General features: G+C 41.9%; 1 protein-coding gene across 7 annotated transcripts in view, besides 1 other annotated feature; it reads left to right on the top strand.

Moving 5' to 3' along the window:
- Positions 1 to 18,759, top strand: part of GMDS (GDP-mannose 4,6-dehydratase) — a 621,800-nt gene that overhangs the window by 489,370 nt on the left and 113,671 nt on the right. For 6 of the 7 annotated variants that reach the window (NM_001500.4, XM_011514500.2, NM_001253846.2 and 3 more), the window contains one exon: positions 13,650 to 13,768. In NM_001500.4, the coding sequence (NP_001491.1) occupies positions 13,650 to 13,768 (119 nt within the window). Of the gene's footprint in view, positions 1 to 13,649; positions 13,773 to 18,759 lie in introns of those variants that run through there. The other variant, XM_011514507.3, reaches the window with a different exon arrangement.
- Positions 16,231 to 16,570: an enhancer, noted in NCBI's record as "active region_23868". NCBI's record gives its function as "activates an Ori minimal core promoter by ATAC-STARR-seq in GM12878 lymphoblastoid cells {active_cell/tissue: GM12878}" and the evidence as "EXISTENCE:reporter gene assay evidence [ECO:0000049][PMID:35858748]".

The following is an 18,759-nucleotide window of genomic DNA, read 5'->3' as shown; positions in this document are numbered from 1 at the left end:
TGGGATGGCTTATTAAGCATCAGCAGACAGTGAAACAGCCTTTGTTTATATGTGTATTTTTCATTAAGCTTCTTTCATACATTATTTACATGGTCACATAATTGGGGAATATATTGTTTATGGTAATTCTGTTCATATCCTTTGCCCACTTTTGGAGGGGGTTGTTGTTTTCTTTTACATTTGTTTAAGTTCCTTATAGATTCTGCATATTAGCCCTTTGTCAGATGGATAGATTGCAAAATTTTTCAACCATTCTGTAGGTTGCCTGTTTACTCTGATGATAGTTTCTTTTGCTGTGCAACAGCTCTTTAGTTTAATGAGATCCCATTTGTCAATTATGGCTTTTGTTTCCATTGCTTTTGGTGTTTTAGTCATGAAGTCTTTGCGCATGCCTATGTCCTGAATGGTATTGCCTAGGTTTTCTTCTAGGGTTTTTATTGTTTTAGGACTTACTTAAGTCTTTAATCCATCTTTAGTTAATTTTTGTATAAGGCATAAGGAAGGGGTCCATTTTCAGTTTTCTGCATATGGCTAGCCAGTTTTCCCAGCACTATTTATTAAATAGGGAATCCTTTCCCCATTGCTGTTTTGGGTACAGTGGTCTTGCAGTATAGTTCGAAGTCAGGTAGTGTGATGCCTCCAGCTTTGTTCTTTTTGCTGACGATTGTCTTGGCTATACGGGCATTTTTTTGGTTCCATATGAAATTTAAAGTAGTTTTTTCTAATTCTATGAAGAAAGTCAGTGGCAGCTTGATGGGGATAGCATTGAATCTACAAATTACTTTGGGCAGTATGTCCATTTTCATGATATTCATTCTTCCTATCCATGATCATGGAAAGTTTTTCCATTTCTTTGTGTCCTCTCTTGTTTCCTTGAGCAGTGGTTTATAGCTCTCCTTGAGGTCCCTCACATCTCTTGTAAGTTGTATTCCTAGGTATTTTATTCTCTTTGTAGCAATTGTGAATGGGAGTTCACTCATGATTTGGCTGTTTGTCTATTATTGGTATATAGGAATGCTTGTGATTTTTGCACATTGATTTTGTACCCTGAGACTTTGCTGAAGTTGCTTATGAGCTTAAGGAGATTTTGGGCTGAGACAGTGGGGTTTTCTAAATATACAATCATGTCATCTGCAAACAGATAATTTGACTTACTCTCTTCCTGTTTGAATACTCTTGATTTCTTTCTCTTGCCTGATTGCCCTGGCCAGAACTTCCAACACTATGTTGAAAAGAAGTGGTGAGAGAGGGCATCCTTGTCTTGTGCCAGTTTTCAAAGGGAATGCTTTTGCCCATTCAGTATGATATTGGCTGTGGGTTTGTCATAAATGGCTGTTATTATTTTGTTATTATTTTGAGATACGTTCAATCAGTACCTAGTTTATTGAGAGTTTTTAGCATGAAGGGGTGTTGATTTTTATCGAAGGCCCTTTCTGCATCTGTTGAGATAATCATGTGGGTTTTGTCATTGGTTCTGTTTATGTGATGGATTATATTTATTGATTTGTGTATGTTGAACCAGCCTTGCATCCCAGGGATGAAGCCGACTTGATCGTGGTGGATAAGCTTTTTGATGTGCTACTGGATTTGGTTTGCCAGGATGTTATTGAGGATTTTCACATCGATGTTCATCAGGGATATTGGCCTAAAATTGTCTTTTTTTGTTGTGTCTCACCAAGTTTTGGTATCAGGATGATGCTGGCCTCATAAAATGAGTTAAGGAGGATTCCTTCTTTTTCTCTTGCTTGGAATAGTTTCAGAAGGAATGGTACCAGCTCCTCTTTGTACCTCTGGTAGAATTCGGCTGTGAATCCATCTGGTCCTGGACTTTTTTGGTTGATAGGTATTACTGCCTCAATTTCAGAACTTGTTATTGGTCTATTCAGGGATTTGACTTCTTCCTGGTTTAGTCTTGGGAGGGTGTATGTGTCCAGGAATTTATCCATTTCTTCTAGAATTTCTAGTTTATTTGCATAGAGGTGTTTATAGTATTCTCTGATGGTAGTTTGTATTTCTGTGGGATCAGTGGTGATGTCCCCTTTATCATTTTATATTGTGTCTATTTGATTCTTCTCTCTTTTCTTCTTTATTATTCTGGATAACAGTCTACCTATTTTGTTGATCTTTTCAAAAAACCAGCTCCTGTATTCATTGATTTTTTGAAGGGTTTTTCATGTCTCTAATCTCCTTCAGTTATGCTCTAATGTTAGTTATTTCTTGTCTTCTGCTAGCTTTTGAATTTATTTGCTCTTGCTTCTCTAGTCCTTTTAATTGTGATGTTATGGTGTTGATTTTAGATCTTTTCTGCATTCTCCTGTGGGCATTTAGTACTATAAATTACCCTCTAAACACTGCTTTAGCTGTGTCCCAGAGATTCTGGTGTGTTGTGTCTTTGTTCTTGTTGGTTTCAAATAACTTATTTAGTTCTGCCCTAATTTTGTTATTTACCCAGTAGTCATTCAGGAGCAGGTTGTTCAGTTTCCATATATTTGTGTGGTTTTGAGTGCGTTTCTTAATCCTGAGTTTTAATTTGATTGCACTGTGGTCTGAGAGACTGTTATGATTTCCATGCTTTTGCATTTGCTGAGGAGTGTTTACTTCCAATTATGTGGTCAGTTTTAGAATAAGTGGAATGTGGTGCTGAGAAGAAATTATATTCTGTTGATTTGGGGTGGAGAGTTCTGTAGCTGTCTATTAGATCCGCTTGGTCCAGAGCTGAATTCAAGTCCTCAATATCCTTGTAAATTTTCTGTCTCAATGATCTAATATTGACAGTGGGGTGTTAAAGTCTCCCACTATTATTGTGTGGGAGTCTAAGTCTCTTTGTAAGTCTCTAAGAACTTGCTTTATGAATCTGGGTGCTCCTGTATTGGGTGCATATATATTTAGGATAGTTAGCTCTTCTTGTTGCATTGATCCCTTTACCATTATGTAATGCCCTTCTTTGTCTTTTTTGATCTTTGTTCATTTAAAATCTGTTTTATCAGAGACTAGGATTGCACCCCCTGCTTTTTTTTCTTTTTTGCTTTCCATTTGCTTCGTAAATATTCCTCCATCCCTTTATTTTGAGCCTATGTGTGTCTTTGCACATGAGATGGGTCTCCTGAATACAGCACACCGATGGGTCTTGACTCTTTATCCAGTTTGCCAGTCTGTAAGTTTTAATTGGGGCATTAAGCCCATTTACATTTAAGGTTACTATTGTTATGTGTACATTTGATCCTGTCATTATGATGCTAGCTGGTTATTTTGGCCATTAGTTGATGAAGTTTCTTCATAGTGTTGATGGTCTTTACAATTTGGCATGTTTTTGCAGTGGATGGTACCGGTTTTTCCTTTCCATATTTAGTGTTCTTTCAGGAGCTCTTGTAAGGCAGGCCAGGTGGTGACAAAATCTCTCAGCATTTGCTTGTCTGTAAAGGATTTCATTTCTCCTTCGCTTTTGAAGCTTACTTTGGCTGGATATGGAATTCTGAGTTGAAAATTCTTTTATTTAAGAATGTTGAATATTGGCCCCACTCTCTTCTGGCTTGTAGGGTTTCTGCCGAGAGATCTGCTGTTAGTCTGATGGGCTTCCCTTTGTGAGTAACCCGACCTTTCTCTCTGACTGCCCTTAACATTCTTTCCTTCATTTCAACCTTGGTGAATCTGACGATTATGTATCTTGGGATTGCTCTTCTTGAGGAGTATCTTTGTGGTGTTCTCTTTATTTCCTGAATTTGAATGTTCGCCTGTCTTGCTAGATTGGGGAAGTTCTCCTGGGTAATATCCTGAAGAGTGTTTTCCAACTTGGTTCCATTCTTCCCATCACTTTCAGGTACACCAATCAAAGGTAGGTTTGGTCTTTTCACATAGTCCCATATTTCTTGAAGGCTTTGTTCATTCCTTTTCATTCTTTTTTCTCTAATCTTGTCTTCATGCTTTATTTCATTAAGTTGACCTTCAATCTCTGATATCCTTTCTTCCACTTGATTGATTTGGCTATTGATACTTGTGTATGCTTCACGAAGTTCTCATGCTGTGTTTTTCAGCTCCATCAGGTCATTTATGTTCTTCTCTAAGCTGGTTATTCTAGTTAGCAATTCATCTAACATTTTCTCAAGGTTCTTAGCTTTCTTGCATTGGGTTAGAACATGCTCCTGTTGCTCAGAAGAGTTTGTTGTTACCCACCTTCTGAAGCCTACTTCTGTCAATTCATCAAACTCATTCTCTGTCCAGTTTTGTTCCCTTGCTGCCGAGGAGTTGTGATCCTTTGGAGGAGAAGAGGCATTCTGGTTTTTGGAATTTTCAGCCTTTTTGCACTAGTTTTTCCTCATCTTTGTGGAGTTATCTACCTTTGATCTTTGATGTTGGTGACCTTTGGATGGAGTTTTTGTGTGGACGTTCTTTTTGTTGATGTTGATGCTATTTCTTTCTGTTAGTTTTCCTTCTAACAGTCAGGCCCAGCTGGGCACGGTGGCTCATGCCTGTAATCCCAGCACTTTGGGAGCCTGAGGCAGGTGGATCACAAAGTCAGGAGATCAAGACCATCCTGGCCAACATGGTGAAACCTCATCTCTACTAAAAATACAAAAATTAGCTGTGTGTGGTGGCATGTGCCTGTAATCCCAACTACTCGGGAGGCTGAGGCAAGAGAATCGCTTGAACTTGGGAGGCGGAGGTTGCAGTGAGCTGAGATCACGCCATTGCACTCTAGCCTGGCAACAGAGCGACATTCCATCTCAAACAAACAAACAAACAAATGAAAAAACAGGTCCCTCTGCTGCAGGTCTGCTGGAGTTTGCTGGAGGTCCACTCCAGACCCAGTTTTTTTTGGTATCACCAGCAGAGGCTGCAGAACAGCAAAGATTGCTGCCTGTTCCTTCCTCCGGGAGCTTCGTTCCAGAGGGGCACCCATCAGATGCTAGCCGGAGCTCTCCTGTGTGAGGTGTCTGTCAACCCCTGCTAGGAGGTATCTCCCGGTCAGGAGGCACGGGGGTCAGGGACCCACTTGAGGAGGCAGTCTGTCCCTTAGCAGAGCTCAAGTGTTGTGCTGGGAGATCCGCTGCTCTCTTCAGAGCCGGCAGGCAGGAACGTTTAAGTCTGCTGAAGCTGCACCCACAGCCACCCCTTTCCCCAGGTGCTCTGTTCCAGGGAGATGGGAGTTTTATCTATAAGCCCCTGACTGGGGTTGCTGCCTTTCTTTCAGAAATGCTCTGCCCAGAGAGGAGGAATCTAGAGAGGCAGTCTGGCCACAGCAGCTTTGCCAAGCTGTGGTGGGCTCCGCCGCATTTGAACTTCCTGATGGCTTTGTTTACACTGTGAGGGGAAAACCACCTACTCAAGCCTCAGTAATGGCGACCCCCCTTCCCCCACCAAGCGCTGGCATCCCAGGTCAACTTCATACTGCTGTGCTGGCAGCGGGAATTTCAAGCCAGCGGATCTTAGCTTGCTGGGCACCATGGGGGTGGGATCTGCTGAGCAAGACAACTTGGCTCCCTGGCTTCAGCCCTCTTTCCAGGGGAGTGAACGGTTCTTTCTCACTGGTGTTCTAGGCACCACTAGGATATGAAAAAAAACCTCCTGCAGCTAGCTCGGTGTCTGCCCAGTTTTGTGCTTGAAACCCAGGGCCCTGGTGGTATAGGCACCCGAAGGAATCTCCTGGTCTGTGGGTTGCAAAGACCATGGGAAAAGCGTAGTATCTGGGCCGGAATCCACAGTTCCCCATGGCACAGTCCCTCAAGGTTTCCCTTGGCTAGGGGATGGAGTTCCCCAACCCCTTGCGCTTCCCATGTGAGGGAATGCCCCACCCTGCTTCGGCTCACCCTCCATGGGCTGCACCCACTGTCTAACCAGTCCCAATGAGATGAGCCAGGTACCTCAGTTGGAAATGCAGAAATCACCTGCCTTCTGCGTTGATCTCACTGGCAGCTCCAGAGTGGAGCTGTTCCTATTCAGCCATCTTCAAGAAATATATTTTTAAATGACTAAATATAAGGACATTTTCATTCAACACTCCTTTTTTTGAAACCCTCTGAAATCAAGAAAAATAATAAAGTTAAGAGGAAACTTCTGCTTCATTATAACAATGAAATTGGACACAACTTGAAATATGAGGTATTAATAATTTGAGGCTGGTGGCTCAGTCCTTTAGTCCCAGCCCTTTGGGAGGCCAAGGCAGGAAGATTTCTTGAGGCCAGGAACAATGTAGCCCATACATACATTTTTAGTATTTTTGTATACTAAAAATTAAAAGCATTAGCCAAGTGTGGTGATGCATGCCTGTAGTCCCATCTACTTGGAAGGCTGAAGCTGGAGGATCACTTGAGTCCAGGAGTTCAAGGCTGCAGTGAGCTACGATCATGCCACGGCACTACAGTCTGGGTGACAGGGTAAGACCCTGTCTACAAAAAAAATGAAAAAGTATTTGAGACAGATACCATGACATTTGAAGAAAATTTAGAGCAGATGTTAGGAACTATACACACAGGCTATGAATTTTGCACAAAATAATTTCAGTCCTAAAAAACCCATAAAATAGTATTACCTATTAGAGAGAAGCAGAAACTATCCTCATAGATACCCACTTGTACACTACACAGTGGCAAGAAGGTGTTGCTGAAGGAGAAGACAATTTCTTTTTTTTATGTTTAATTTTTTTTTTTTTTGAGATAAAGTCTCTGTCACCCATGCTGGAGTGCAGTGGCATGATCTCAGCTCACTGCCACCTCCGCCTCCAGGGTTCAAGTGATTCTTGTGCCTCAGCCTCCCAAGTGGCTGGGATTACAGGTGCCCCCGCCCCCACCACGCCCAGCTAAGTTTTGTATTTTTTGTAGAGACGGGGTTTTGCCATGTTGGCCAGGCTGGTCTTAAACTCCTCACCTCAAGATATCCGCCTGCCTCAGCCTCCCAAAGTGCTAAGATTGCAGGTGTGAGCCACTACAACCAGCCAGAAGCCAATTTTATTGTCACTGGCATAACCTCCTAGCCAAGGAACACCGCAGATTGTGATCTGGGGTAAAGGCAAAGTGAAAGCAAACATCGCCAGAGAGCACCAGGGCAGCCCTACAATTCATGGGCTCCTTTCCACTAATCACACTCACCAGCAAAATCTTGAGAAATTGTGGCAGCCACGTCCTGGGGCAAAGCGTGCAATGAAGTTGGTAGAGGGCTTTCAGAGAAGCCTGAATTAAAGCTGCAGGCTGTCCTCAGTGTACTTTCCTGTTCCCCCTCCTAAGATTCTTCAGGGAACAGCCAGCCTTGTTCAAGTATAATAATAAGTAGAAAGGCACTACCCCAGAATCTATGCTTGAGTGTGAGTGGGGAAAGGATTGCAAGAAGAAGAAAAGGAACATAAGCAAACAGATGCATTGTGCATATCATAAGGGGTATCATTCAAAAAAATTAGCAGCTAGAGCTTGGGTAATTGTTCTCTGTAGAGTCAAAGAAATTACAGGCAACATATTTTTGTTAAGTTTGCTGAAAGCAAAGGTGGGCAAATCGTAGTCCATGGGCCCTGTAACTGTTTTATTGGAACACAGTCATACCCATTTGATTCCATTTTGTCCATGGCTGTTTTGTGCTGCAACAGCAGAGAAACAGAGACCATGTGGTTCACAAACCTAAAATACTTACTATCTGGCTTTAGAAGAAAAAAGTTGTCTGTCCCCTGGCTTAAATAAAGTCACAAAAAGATAAAAAGCAACCTGGTAGTAAACAGGAAAAGTATGGAAGAGAAAAAAACCCTTACAGAAATTGAAACCATGTTACCAACAAAATATAAAATAAATTTTACTAAAACAATCAGGTGAACAGGCTGGAGGAAATCATATAAATTAATATGAAACAAAACCCAAAAATGATTAGCTCGGAGGTGATAGATGTAAAAGATAAAACAAAAGAGATATATGCATAATTGATGTGCATGAAAAAGAAATTGAATAGAAGAGATAAGATATATTCAAAGATAAATAGAAGAAATAAATATATAACTAGAATCTGCAAATTGAAAGAATAGATAATATCCTAGAAAACTGATTCAGAATGATTAACACAAGACTAGGAGCTGTTCGATTTTATATTGTTTCTAGGGAAGAGAAACATTAACCCCAACCTGGAGTTTTTAGCTGTGTATTCCTGGCTAGAGTTAAAAGATAAAGGGCAAAACAAATTTTGACATTGCCTCTTTCTTTCAGTACATATGGTGTTGATATAGAATGATATGTTAGCAAAGAAAGAAGCAAGAGCTATATGGCTTTCTGGGTTGTGTTCTTTTATTTTTGGTCCTTTGATTAATTTATTATCTTTTTTTTTCTGTTCAGTAACGTCGTATCTTTAAAACGTCTAAAAGTCCCTTAATCTAAGGAATCCGTGTGACACAGCGTTTTTGCCCAGGAAGAAAATAGACATAGCCATAAGGCCAGACTTTGGTTTCACACTGTTTGTTTTTATTAGTATAGTTTTATTAATTAAAACTAACCCAAAGACCTAAGACCTACCTATGTGAATTCCACAAAGAATAAGGCTTGGCTGACCACAAAACTACTGGAGGTCCTGACTCAAACTAAATACCAGGCTGCCATCATGAAAACAGCTACTAAATAATGTTTAGAGATGAAACGCATGTGAATGGGTACACACTGGGCATCCTTTCTCTGGAACTTTAATTTCCATTTGTTCAAATTTCCATGATTTTTATTAGAGTTATTTCATACATGTTCTCCCCTGAAATGCGTATACATACATAAGTGTGTGTGTGTGTGTGTGCGCGCACACGCATGAGCGTGTGTGTGTGTGTAGTTTTAAGGTTTTTGTGACAGTAGCACGTAAAGCACAAAAGCACCAGGGTGAAAAAGTAACAGTCAAATAGACATAGTTAAACATAACCTTCATTAACAAATCTTGTTATTCATGGATGCCAGCTCAGTTAATAAGTGTTTGTGGCTTGGATACTGAACTGGAGGTTAACGTCGAGGTGGAAGCAATTGTAGAATCCAGATTTTTAAGACAAACACACATCCCACCACAGAAGGCATGCACGGAATCAGGTGTAGTCAGTCGGCTGTGGTGATGCACTTTGAGTGTTCTCCTTCATTGGTCCAGCTCTGAACAGCCACCAGAGCTGGCAGCTTCCCAAGCAGGGGAGTGGCCCTTCCTGAGCCTCCCAAACCACTTCTGCATCCACCCCTCAAATTACCAAATGGGAGACTGTGAGAGAGGAGTATTTTTATTTGACATTTTAAAATTTAAGTTTTGTAGGCTGGGAGCGGTGGCTCACACCTGTAATCTCAGCACTTTGGGAGGCTGAGGCCGGCAGATCACAAGGTCAGGAGTTCAAGACCAGCCTGACCAACATGGTGAAACCCCATCTCTACTAAAAATACAAAAATTAGCCGGGTATGGTGGCGCACAACTATAATCCCAGCTACTCGGGAGTCTGAGGCAGGAGAATCGCTTGAACCCGGGAGGCGGAGGTTGCAGTGAGCCGAGATTGTGCCACTGTACTCCAGCCTGGGCGACAGAGCAAGATTCTGTCTCAAAAAATAAATAAATAAATAAATAAATAAAACTAAAGTTTTATTTTTACTTCTCCAAATTGGATTTGTAGAACAGATAGATTAATTATATACTTACAGAAGAGTACGTGTCCAAATTTAAGTAATATTTATACCCATCTTGACTTGGCCATCAAAAGTCAATGGTCTGGAGTCAGATTTCCCTTGAACTTCATTTGCTTAAAAGCAAAATGAATGCAAGACATGATTTGAAAACTGCCCTGTTTTTTTGGCAATTAAGGGACATTTTTATGTTAAAGAATCTGAAGCCCTGGCACATTCCTTAACTGATTTGCTTTCCTCTCTGTGAGATGGATTAAAAAACAGGAGATTTTTTTCATGTGCACTGGTAATCAGGTCAGGACTGAAAGTAAATAAGTATTTGAGGAAGTGGACAAGTCAGTCACATCCTCAAAGGACACCAAAAGAATGCAGGAAGACTGTCTTTTTCCTCCTTCATTCCTTGAGAGACAAAGAGAGAAGACTGACCTCTAAAACATGTAACCTCAACACTGTTTCTCTAGTCAGAAGCCAAAGCTGGGTGGCGATTTGATCACAGAGTGTGGCCTGGCCATGTCATGGGTCATGTGGTCCAGCATGTGAACAGGAAGGTGAGAACGGGTGAACTTTTGCCTCAGTTGTGCCATCCATCAGGGAATCAATGGAGCACATCAACGTGTGCAGCTGTATAAGGAGGCGGATGGCTGCGTCCTTCTCACACAGGGGCCTTTGTCTCCTGGACATGATCTAGCATTACGACGGGATGCACTCAGCCTCGGCTTTGTGGTGAATTACTAACCCATTATCACACCAGAACACAGGATCATTTATCTTCTAATCCAGAGTGTCACCTGTTCTTCATTTACCAGTCAATAACCATTAATTATGCTCAGTGGAAATTTAAACAAAGCCCTATCCCTCTGTTGAAACCAGTAAACTATTCAGTAATAACAAATAAATCTGGAGTTGTATATCCTTTCTCTTCTCATTCCCAGACTGGAGTCTGGTACAATATGAACTTTAGAGGAAATGCCTAGAAATTGATAGGTCAAAGGCCACAGATAGTCTGATGGAGAAGAAAAGAGCAGATTCTTGGCTCTTGCTCTAGTAAAAGGAGAGGCCCTGACTGATCCCTAGATTCCTGCCGGGAACAAAACAAGCACCAGGGGACCCGGGCCGGTGTTTAAAGTGACCCACCAGTAGCCAACAGTCAAGTTTCTCCAAGTGATCCACCAGTAGCCAACAGTCAAGTTTCTCCAAGTGACCCACCAGTAGCCAACAGTCATGTTTCTCCAAGTGACCCACCAGTAGCCAACAGTCAAGTTTCTCCAAGTGACCCACCAGTAGCCAACAGTCATGTTTCTCCAAGTGACCCACCAGTAGCCAACAGTCAAGTTTCTCCTTTTACATTTTTAGCACGTCCTTGTCTTCTTTCACATGACTAAAAATAGGACTTTTTTGAGACCACTCTAACACAGCGGACTGTTTCTAAAGAAGTAAAATAAGCTGAGTGGCCCTGAAAGACCTATTTGAGATGTTATTTTTAGAATGGAAATTTGAGTCAAACACATTAAAGTGTATTTACCCCCTTACATCTAATCCCGCAGAAGAACGTTCAGATAGGAATTCTAGCCATAGGCATCATTTAATTTTTCCTAAAAATTCTGAAGGTATTTTGGCAAAAGCCAAAATAAGTTTCTGTGTGTGTGTGTGTGCACGTGTGCCTCTGTGTGTGTCCACGGGTACACTCGTGCGCCCACTTGGGTGAAGTGGGAGGCTCAGCTTAGTTGGGAAGCGGGCCAAAGGGCAGGCCCGATCCCGGTGAAGCCACCATACTGTGTGCATTGGAATTCATTCCAGTGGCTAGACTTGGGACCCTGGTCCGGGACCTAGAGAGAGGTCAGCATTCCCAGACAGATGAGGAGACAGGGTGTTCCAGGCCGCGGGAATTTCACTTGCAGGCACAGACCTACAAGGAGCAGCTGCTCACTAGGCCTCTGCTCGTGCACACAGGCCTTGGTGCCCCTTTCAGAAAGACACCTTGGGGAACTTCTTGACAAACGGTGCCGAGCCTGGGCTGTACTTCAGATCTCATTGCTCTCCTCAGCCCCCAGTGTTTAACAGTGTTCAGGGAGCTACCAAGCCATTGTAGACTCCATCTGCTTGTGTGGACTATCCCAAAACAGTGAACAACTTGTATTTCATGCCTTTTAAAAGCTCATGCTTTATCATTAGTAGTAGTAGTGGTAGTATAACATTTAAAAAGTCTTGTGGCTCAGTTCACCAACCATGATTTCTTAAGGCAAAATGAAATTGCAGGTATTCCATTAATGTGAACAAATATGTCTTCTCGCCAAGATAATTTCTTCCGTCAGTTACTTTATAGAATATCACTGACTTGAAACTATTACCATTGTCCCAACCAGCATGCCACATCTCCAAAGCATATAAAATAGACCAAAATCTTGTCTTCCATATGATTTAAAACAATCTTGTAATAGACCAAAAATACAAAAACATACACAGGAAATAACTTCAGGTAAAAGAGAAATTATTTTAAATTTTATTTTTTAGAAGTTTTCTACAAATTCCAATGAATAAAAAGGAAATTAAACTTTTTTGGTGGCATTTTCTAAGAGAAAATAGGCTGGCTCATTGATTTTAGCAACTTCTTGTTTTTGGCTTATCAAGGAACAACTTAGGGAGACGCAAACCAAACAGTTTTGTTTAAATTTTGCTGGAACGAGAGTTCAATGCACATATCATTGGAGGCTGTGTTATAATTAAGTCCTTACTGTTTTTACCTATTTTATTTTGAGAAGTGGGTGGAAGTGATGAAAAAATAGAGATTGATTTTTTTTTGTTTTGCTTCAACCTTTTTTGAAGAGACATATTCCTGTTGGATTCCTGCTACACTTATTTTTTTTTTTAAATCTTCATCTCCTATCTGTATTAAAAAAAAAAATCTTTAAGGTGCAATTGCGAGATACAGGAACTCCAGGCCTATCTGCTGTTGGTAAAAGCTAACCACGGGGAGCGGGGCTGCGCTGGTGCCACCAGTCAGTATCTTGGACATGCAGTGGCATTTTTGCCCACCAGACTCCTGGCTCCTACTGAGAAAGTGAACCTGTATAGACATCCATTTTTTTTTTTTTTTTTTGAGATGGAGTCTGGTTCTGTCGTCCAGGCTGGAGTGCAGTGGCGCGATCTCGGCTCCCTGCAAGCTCCGCCTCCCGGGTTCACGCCATTCTCCTGCCTCAGCCTCCCGAGTAGCTGGGACTACAGGCGCCCCCCACCACGCCCGGCTAATTTTTTTTGTATTTTTAGTAGAGACGGGGTTTCCCCGTGGTCTCGATCTCCTGACCTCGTGATCCACCCGCCTCGGCCTCCCAAAGTGCTGGGACGACAGGCGTGAGCCACCGCGCCCTGCTAGACATCCATTTTGATGTGGAAGTTGAGCCCCTGGCCTTGAAATGCTGCCTTATGAACCCATTAACTCTGGGATAAATGTTTTCATTGCCTCTCAGACAGCTTTTTTATAATAGTAGTACTCTCCATTACGTGGTTGTTTTTCCATTAATGATTCGCACTTACTTTGTTTTTTGACTAGTACCTTCTCAACTTTATTGTTCAAAAATTAAGTTCTACTTTTGAGGACAAATACCTGTCTTTAAATGGTTTTTTTCCTTGACTACTATCTATGATATGAAGAAAAATTAAACAGTGCTTTTAGAACTGCTCTTTTTGTAAATAATACCATAAAAAGGTTATTTGCCATAGACACTGCTTCACATCACATTCCTCTACGTTGTGGTCTGAGGACCTGCACTATGAGAATCACCTGGGATGTTAAGGATAAATATTCTGAGAGAGAATCTCCAGGCCTCTGAGCCCACCCCTCTACGGCTGCAGCCCTGGCATCCACACCAAGAAGTTCCTCATGTTATTCGGATACTCAGTAAAAGTTGGGAGCCATTGCTGTTGTGCTTAGAATATGCTATGAAATTCATGCTCATGTTCCAGCTGTCGATGTCCATATCTGATTATGTGCACTGGAAAACAATGTGTGGCCACTGAGTGTGACTTCAAAGTGAACTTGCCTCTCTTTCCCTCTAGGCTATGTGGTTGATGTTGCAGAATGATGAGCCGGAGGACTTCGTTATAGCTACTGGGGAGGTCCATAGTGTCCGGGAATTTGTCGAGAAATCATTCTTGCACATTGGAAAAACCATTGTGTAAGTATACCTGAGAAATGACTACTTGTAGCTCTCTGGCAGGTATGCACCTGAGCTTGCTGAAGCCTCGGTTCTGGCTGTCATCTTCCCCCTTCACTCTCCTGAAGAGCAATACAGAAAGTTTCAGTGTAGAGTGGGGCCTTTGCTCTGCTCTGCATCCAGCCCTACTTGTGTTATTTGTCAGATGTTGGTCAGCATCTAAACCAAGTTTTTCCACATTTCTTTCATCTTTCTTTTAAGATGTTTTTGGCCAGGCGCGGTGGTTCACGCCTGTAATCCCAGCACTTTGGGAAGCCGAGACAGGAGGATCATGAGGTCAGGAGTTCAAGACCAGCCTGACCAACATGGTGAAACCCCATCTCTACTACAACTACAAAAATTAGCTGGGCGTGGTGGTGCGCGCCTGTTATCCCAGCTACTCAGGAGGCTGAGGAAAGAGAACCGCTTGAACCCGGGAGGCAGAGATTGCAGTGAGCTGAGATCATGCCATTGCACTCCAGCCTGGGTGAAAGAGCAAGACTCCATCTCAAAAAAAAAAAAGAAAGATGTTTTTACTTTCATTTATTTTTAAATACTATTTTATTTTACTTTTTTTAGTTTTAAATGTTTTGTCTCAATATAAGCACCTTCTTTTTTTTTTTTTTTTTTTTTTTTTTGAGACAGAGTCTTGCTCTGTTGCTCAGGCTGGAGTGCAGTGGTGCGATCTTGGCTCACTGCAACCTCCACCTCCCAGGTTCAAGCAATTCTCCTGCCTCAGCCTCCCAAGTAGCTGGGATTACAGGCATGCCCCACCATGCCCAGCTAATTTTTGTATTTTTAGTAGAGATGGGGTTTCATTGTGTTGACCAGGCTAGTCTTCGAACTCCTGACCTCAGGTGATCCACCCGCCTTGGCCTCCCAAAGTGCTGGGATTACAGGCATGAACCACCACGCCTGGCCAAAAACATCTTAAAAGAAAGATGAAAGAAATTTGGAAAATTTTCCAAATTTCTTTCATCATGTTATGTGAAAGAAGCCAGACACAGAATGACAAGTACTGAATGATATCACTCCTGTGAAATCTAAAGAAAGATGATAGAGAAGCAGAGAGTAGAATGGTGCTTACCAGAAGCTGAGGAAGGGATGGGTGGAAAGAGGCTGGGGAGAGAATGGTAAATGGGTACAAAGTAACAATAAGATAGGAGAAATAAGTTCTGGTATTCTGTTGTACAATAGGGTGTCTAAGGTTAACAATACCTATTGTATATGTCAAAATAGCTGGAAGAGAGAATTTTTAATGTTGTCACCAGAAAGAAATATGTGCATGAGCTGATAGAGATACACTAACTACCCTGAATGGATCATTATACAACATATACATGTGTCAAAATATCAAAATGTACCCCATAAATGTGTACAATTATAATGTGTCAATTAAAATTTTAAAAACAAAAATAAGAACACTCAGAAAAAGAGATACTGCCCAATTATTTTGTGAACATTTTGTCTCAATATACTTCCAATTTTATGAAAAATATTGACAATTCGTGGCCAAGAGTTACATAAATTTGTTTTGCATGAAAACTTTGTGCAGGAAACTAATGACATTAATTATAGAAAATTAAGGCAAAAATAAGATCTTTTTCAAATTTTACGTATAATATGGGGAGTTGGAAAATAGCATATAGATAGGAAGCAAGAAGATATAAAATAATCTTTGAAGTGTAATTTGGTTATGTTGATTCTTTTGGCCTTCTATTTTATTTTTTAAAGAAGATACCTCATTTTTCAAAAAAAAAAATTGGCCTTCTTCTCTTGTGGACTGAAAAATGCATTGTTGGATTGATTATGTTTGGAATTGAGGGTTTTTTTATACTTTTCAAATATAAAATTTATGTTGCTTCTAAGTAACCCTCCTTTTTTTTTTTTTTTGAGACGGAGTCTCACTCTGTCCCCCAGGCTGGAGTGCAGTGGCACGATCTTGGCTCACTACAACCTCCGCCTTCTGGGTTCCAGTGATTCTCCTGCCTCAGCCTCCCAAGTAGCTGGGATTACAGGCATGGACCACCACGCCCATCTAATTTTTGTATTTTTAGTAGAGACGGGGTTTTACCATATTGGCCAGGCTGGTCTCAAACTCCTGACCTCAAGTGATCCGCCCACCTCGGCTTCCCAAAGTGCTGGGATTACAGGCATGAGCCACCGCACCTGGCCCAAAAATTTTAATTAAAACGTATAGTTTAGCAGAAATTAATATCTGCCACTCTCATTAATTACTTTTTTTAATAACTCTCTAACATATTTTAACAAATTTATATTGTATATGTGAATAACACAGATTATACTTAAACAAGTTTAATGAGAAAAATAAGATGTAAGCATAACATCTTATTCTTTAAAAAATATGTGCACTTTTGTTTATGTTCTCTGTAGGAATCAAACATGACATTTTATTATTAGGAGTGTCCTGTTATGCTCCAAAAGTTGCGAAGGATGATACGCATGAATTATTTTTTAAATGTGTGAAGTATCTATGCTAATAAAGGCTTAAGCATAGTGAAACTGTTTAGTACTATATTAGGAAAGGGAGAAAAGTGAATGGACTTTCCCAGCAGTCAGAGTTCTTCTGTTTTTCAGGAACTGAAACTGAACTCAGAGTAGCCTTAGGTACCTGGTGCTCCTTCAGGGCCCCTCTGCTTCTTGGCTCCAGTGCCCTGGGATGTTGCCTCCATCCCTCAGCTGCTCCCCATGGCAGAGGGCAGTCTAGACTGCCTTTCTGGGGACACAGCCTCACACAGTCAAAAGAGGAATAGAACCTTTAAGAACAATCCACCTAGAAAAATCCTGAGGAAGGACTGTGGCTGGCCCTTGTGGGTCCTGCAGTTATCCCTAGACCTGTCGCTGTGGCCAGCGTGGGACTGGATCCCAGGCCTTGGCCTGTTTTCAGGGTGTGAGGATTCTGGGATGAGCAGCCCCACTGAAAGTCCACTGTTTGAATGCGGGGGAGCAGGGTCTTCCCCTATAGCAGGATGCTATTGCAGAAGAACGGCAGGATGTGCTCCAAGACAGACAGAGACAGCCCATGCTCACCGCGGCACGCAGGGAGTGGTTAGGGCGAGCCTGGAGGCATGCCAGGAGCCGCACCCCTACTGTGTTTAATTTCCAGGGCTGGGGCACTATTGCACTGAGAAGGAAACTGAGGCACAGTGCAGTTCAGTGCTCTCCCCAGGTCACACAGCAAGGGAGTAGCAGAGCCAGGGTCTGAAATGAGTATGTTGTGACCCAAGACGCTCCTCTTTCCTTTATGTGCACTTTTTATCCTTCTTGTTCATATGCTGTCAAAAAAAACTTTGTGATAGGATATTTGCAGTGAACACAGACCCAGGTCTTCATGCCTGTGGGCATCGTCTCCTTCCCAGGTTATCCTCAGTGCTCTCAACAGCTGACGGTGCTCTGTAAATACTTAATTAAGCACAAGTGGATATCCCAAAAGCCAGCTTATCCAGAAAGTCCTCCCAGAAACACCCACTGTCATCCTGATTTCCGCAGATTTCATGGTTAGCCTTATTCCCTCTCATATGGTGGGGACAGCTTGAGGGAAACCACCATGCTTCCTCCCTAGAGGCTTGTTGGAGCTGTCCAGCTAAGGATGAGGAGGATCTGCATTCAGCCGAGAACATGGAGAGGGAGAGGAGCGATTGATTTGAGTCTTAGAATCAGCGGGATTTGGTGAACAGCCAGATGTAGAGGGTGAAGGACAGCCAAGCTCTCTAGTCTCATTAGCATTGCCATTAATTAAGCTAGAAAGCTTTCTGCTAGCTCAGAGTTCTACTTGTTGTGCTTTGTGTCCTTGCCTCATATTACATGAGGCTGTACCGTATCAGACACACCAATCAGCATCTGGAACATTCTCACTTTTGCTATTCTAAGCTCTGCTGTCTCTTCCCATTTTTGTTATCGTTTTTAAAATTTATCCGTTGTAATGTTCTCCGAAAAGGCTTGACACGTGTCGCCATCTGTATATTTAGAATCGACACAGATATTTCCTCTTGAAGTCTTTGACATCACTTGAGTAATTTGAATAATTTTTGTTTTGCATTTATTAGAAAATAGCACATTAATTTGAGTTTGGGTTAGTAGAAGATATTCGGGGAAGCAGATCAGTACCACATGCAGTCCTGATAAAATGTAAGGTAACGTTTTAAATTCTTACACAGTCATTTGTATTGAGAAAGGCAGCCTTATGACAACTGCTTTCTTTTGATAGCATCTGTGTGTGTGTATGTGTGTGTGTATGTGTGTATATGTGTGTGTGTATGTGTCTGTGTGTGTGTATGTGTATCTGTGTGTGTATGTGTGTATGGGTGTGTGGTGTGTGTGTATATGTGTGGTGTGTATGTGTGTGGTGTGTGTGTGGTATGTGTGTATGTGTGTGGTGTATGTGGTGTGTGTGTGTGGTGTGTGTATGTGTGTATGTGTGTCTGTGTGTGTGGTGTGTTTGTGGTGTGTGTGTATGTGTGTGTATGTATGTGTGTATCTGTGTATGTGTGTGTGGTGTGTATGTATCTGTGTGTGGTGTGTGGTGTGTATGTGTGTGGGGTTGCGTGTGTATGTATGTGTGTATGTGTGCATATCTGTGCGCGTATCTGTGTGTGTGGTGTGTCTTTGTGGTGTGTGTGTATGTGTGTGTATGTATGTGTGTATGTATGTGTATCTGTGTGTGTGGTGTGTGTGTATGTGTATGTGTATGTGTGTGTGTGTTTGTGGTGTGTCTTTGTGGTGTGTGCGTGTGTGTGTATGTATGTGTGTATGTATATCTGTGTGTGTGGTGTGTGTATGTGTATGTATGTGTGCGTGTGTATCTGTGTGTGTGTTTGTGGTGTGTGTGGTGTGTGTATGTGTGTGTATTTTTGTGTGTGTGGTGTGTGTGTGTATCTGTGTGTGTGGTGTGTATGTGTGTGTATCTCTGTGTGTGTGTGTGTGTGTGTTTGTGTGTGTGTGGAGCACATTGC

The sequence above is a fragment of the Homo sapiens genome, chromosome 6 (assembly GCF_000001405.40).
Source record: "Homo sapiens chromosome 6, GRCh38.p14 Primary Assembly".
Taxonomy (NCBI): domain Eukaryota; kingdom Metazoa; phylum Chordata; class Mammalia; order Primates; family Hominidae; genus Homo; species Homo sapiens.
This window is presented reverse-complemented; position numbering and strand designations above follow the sequence as displayed.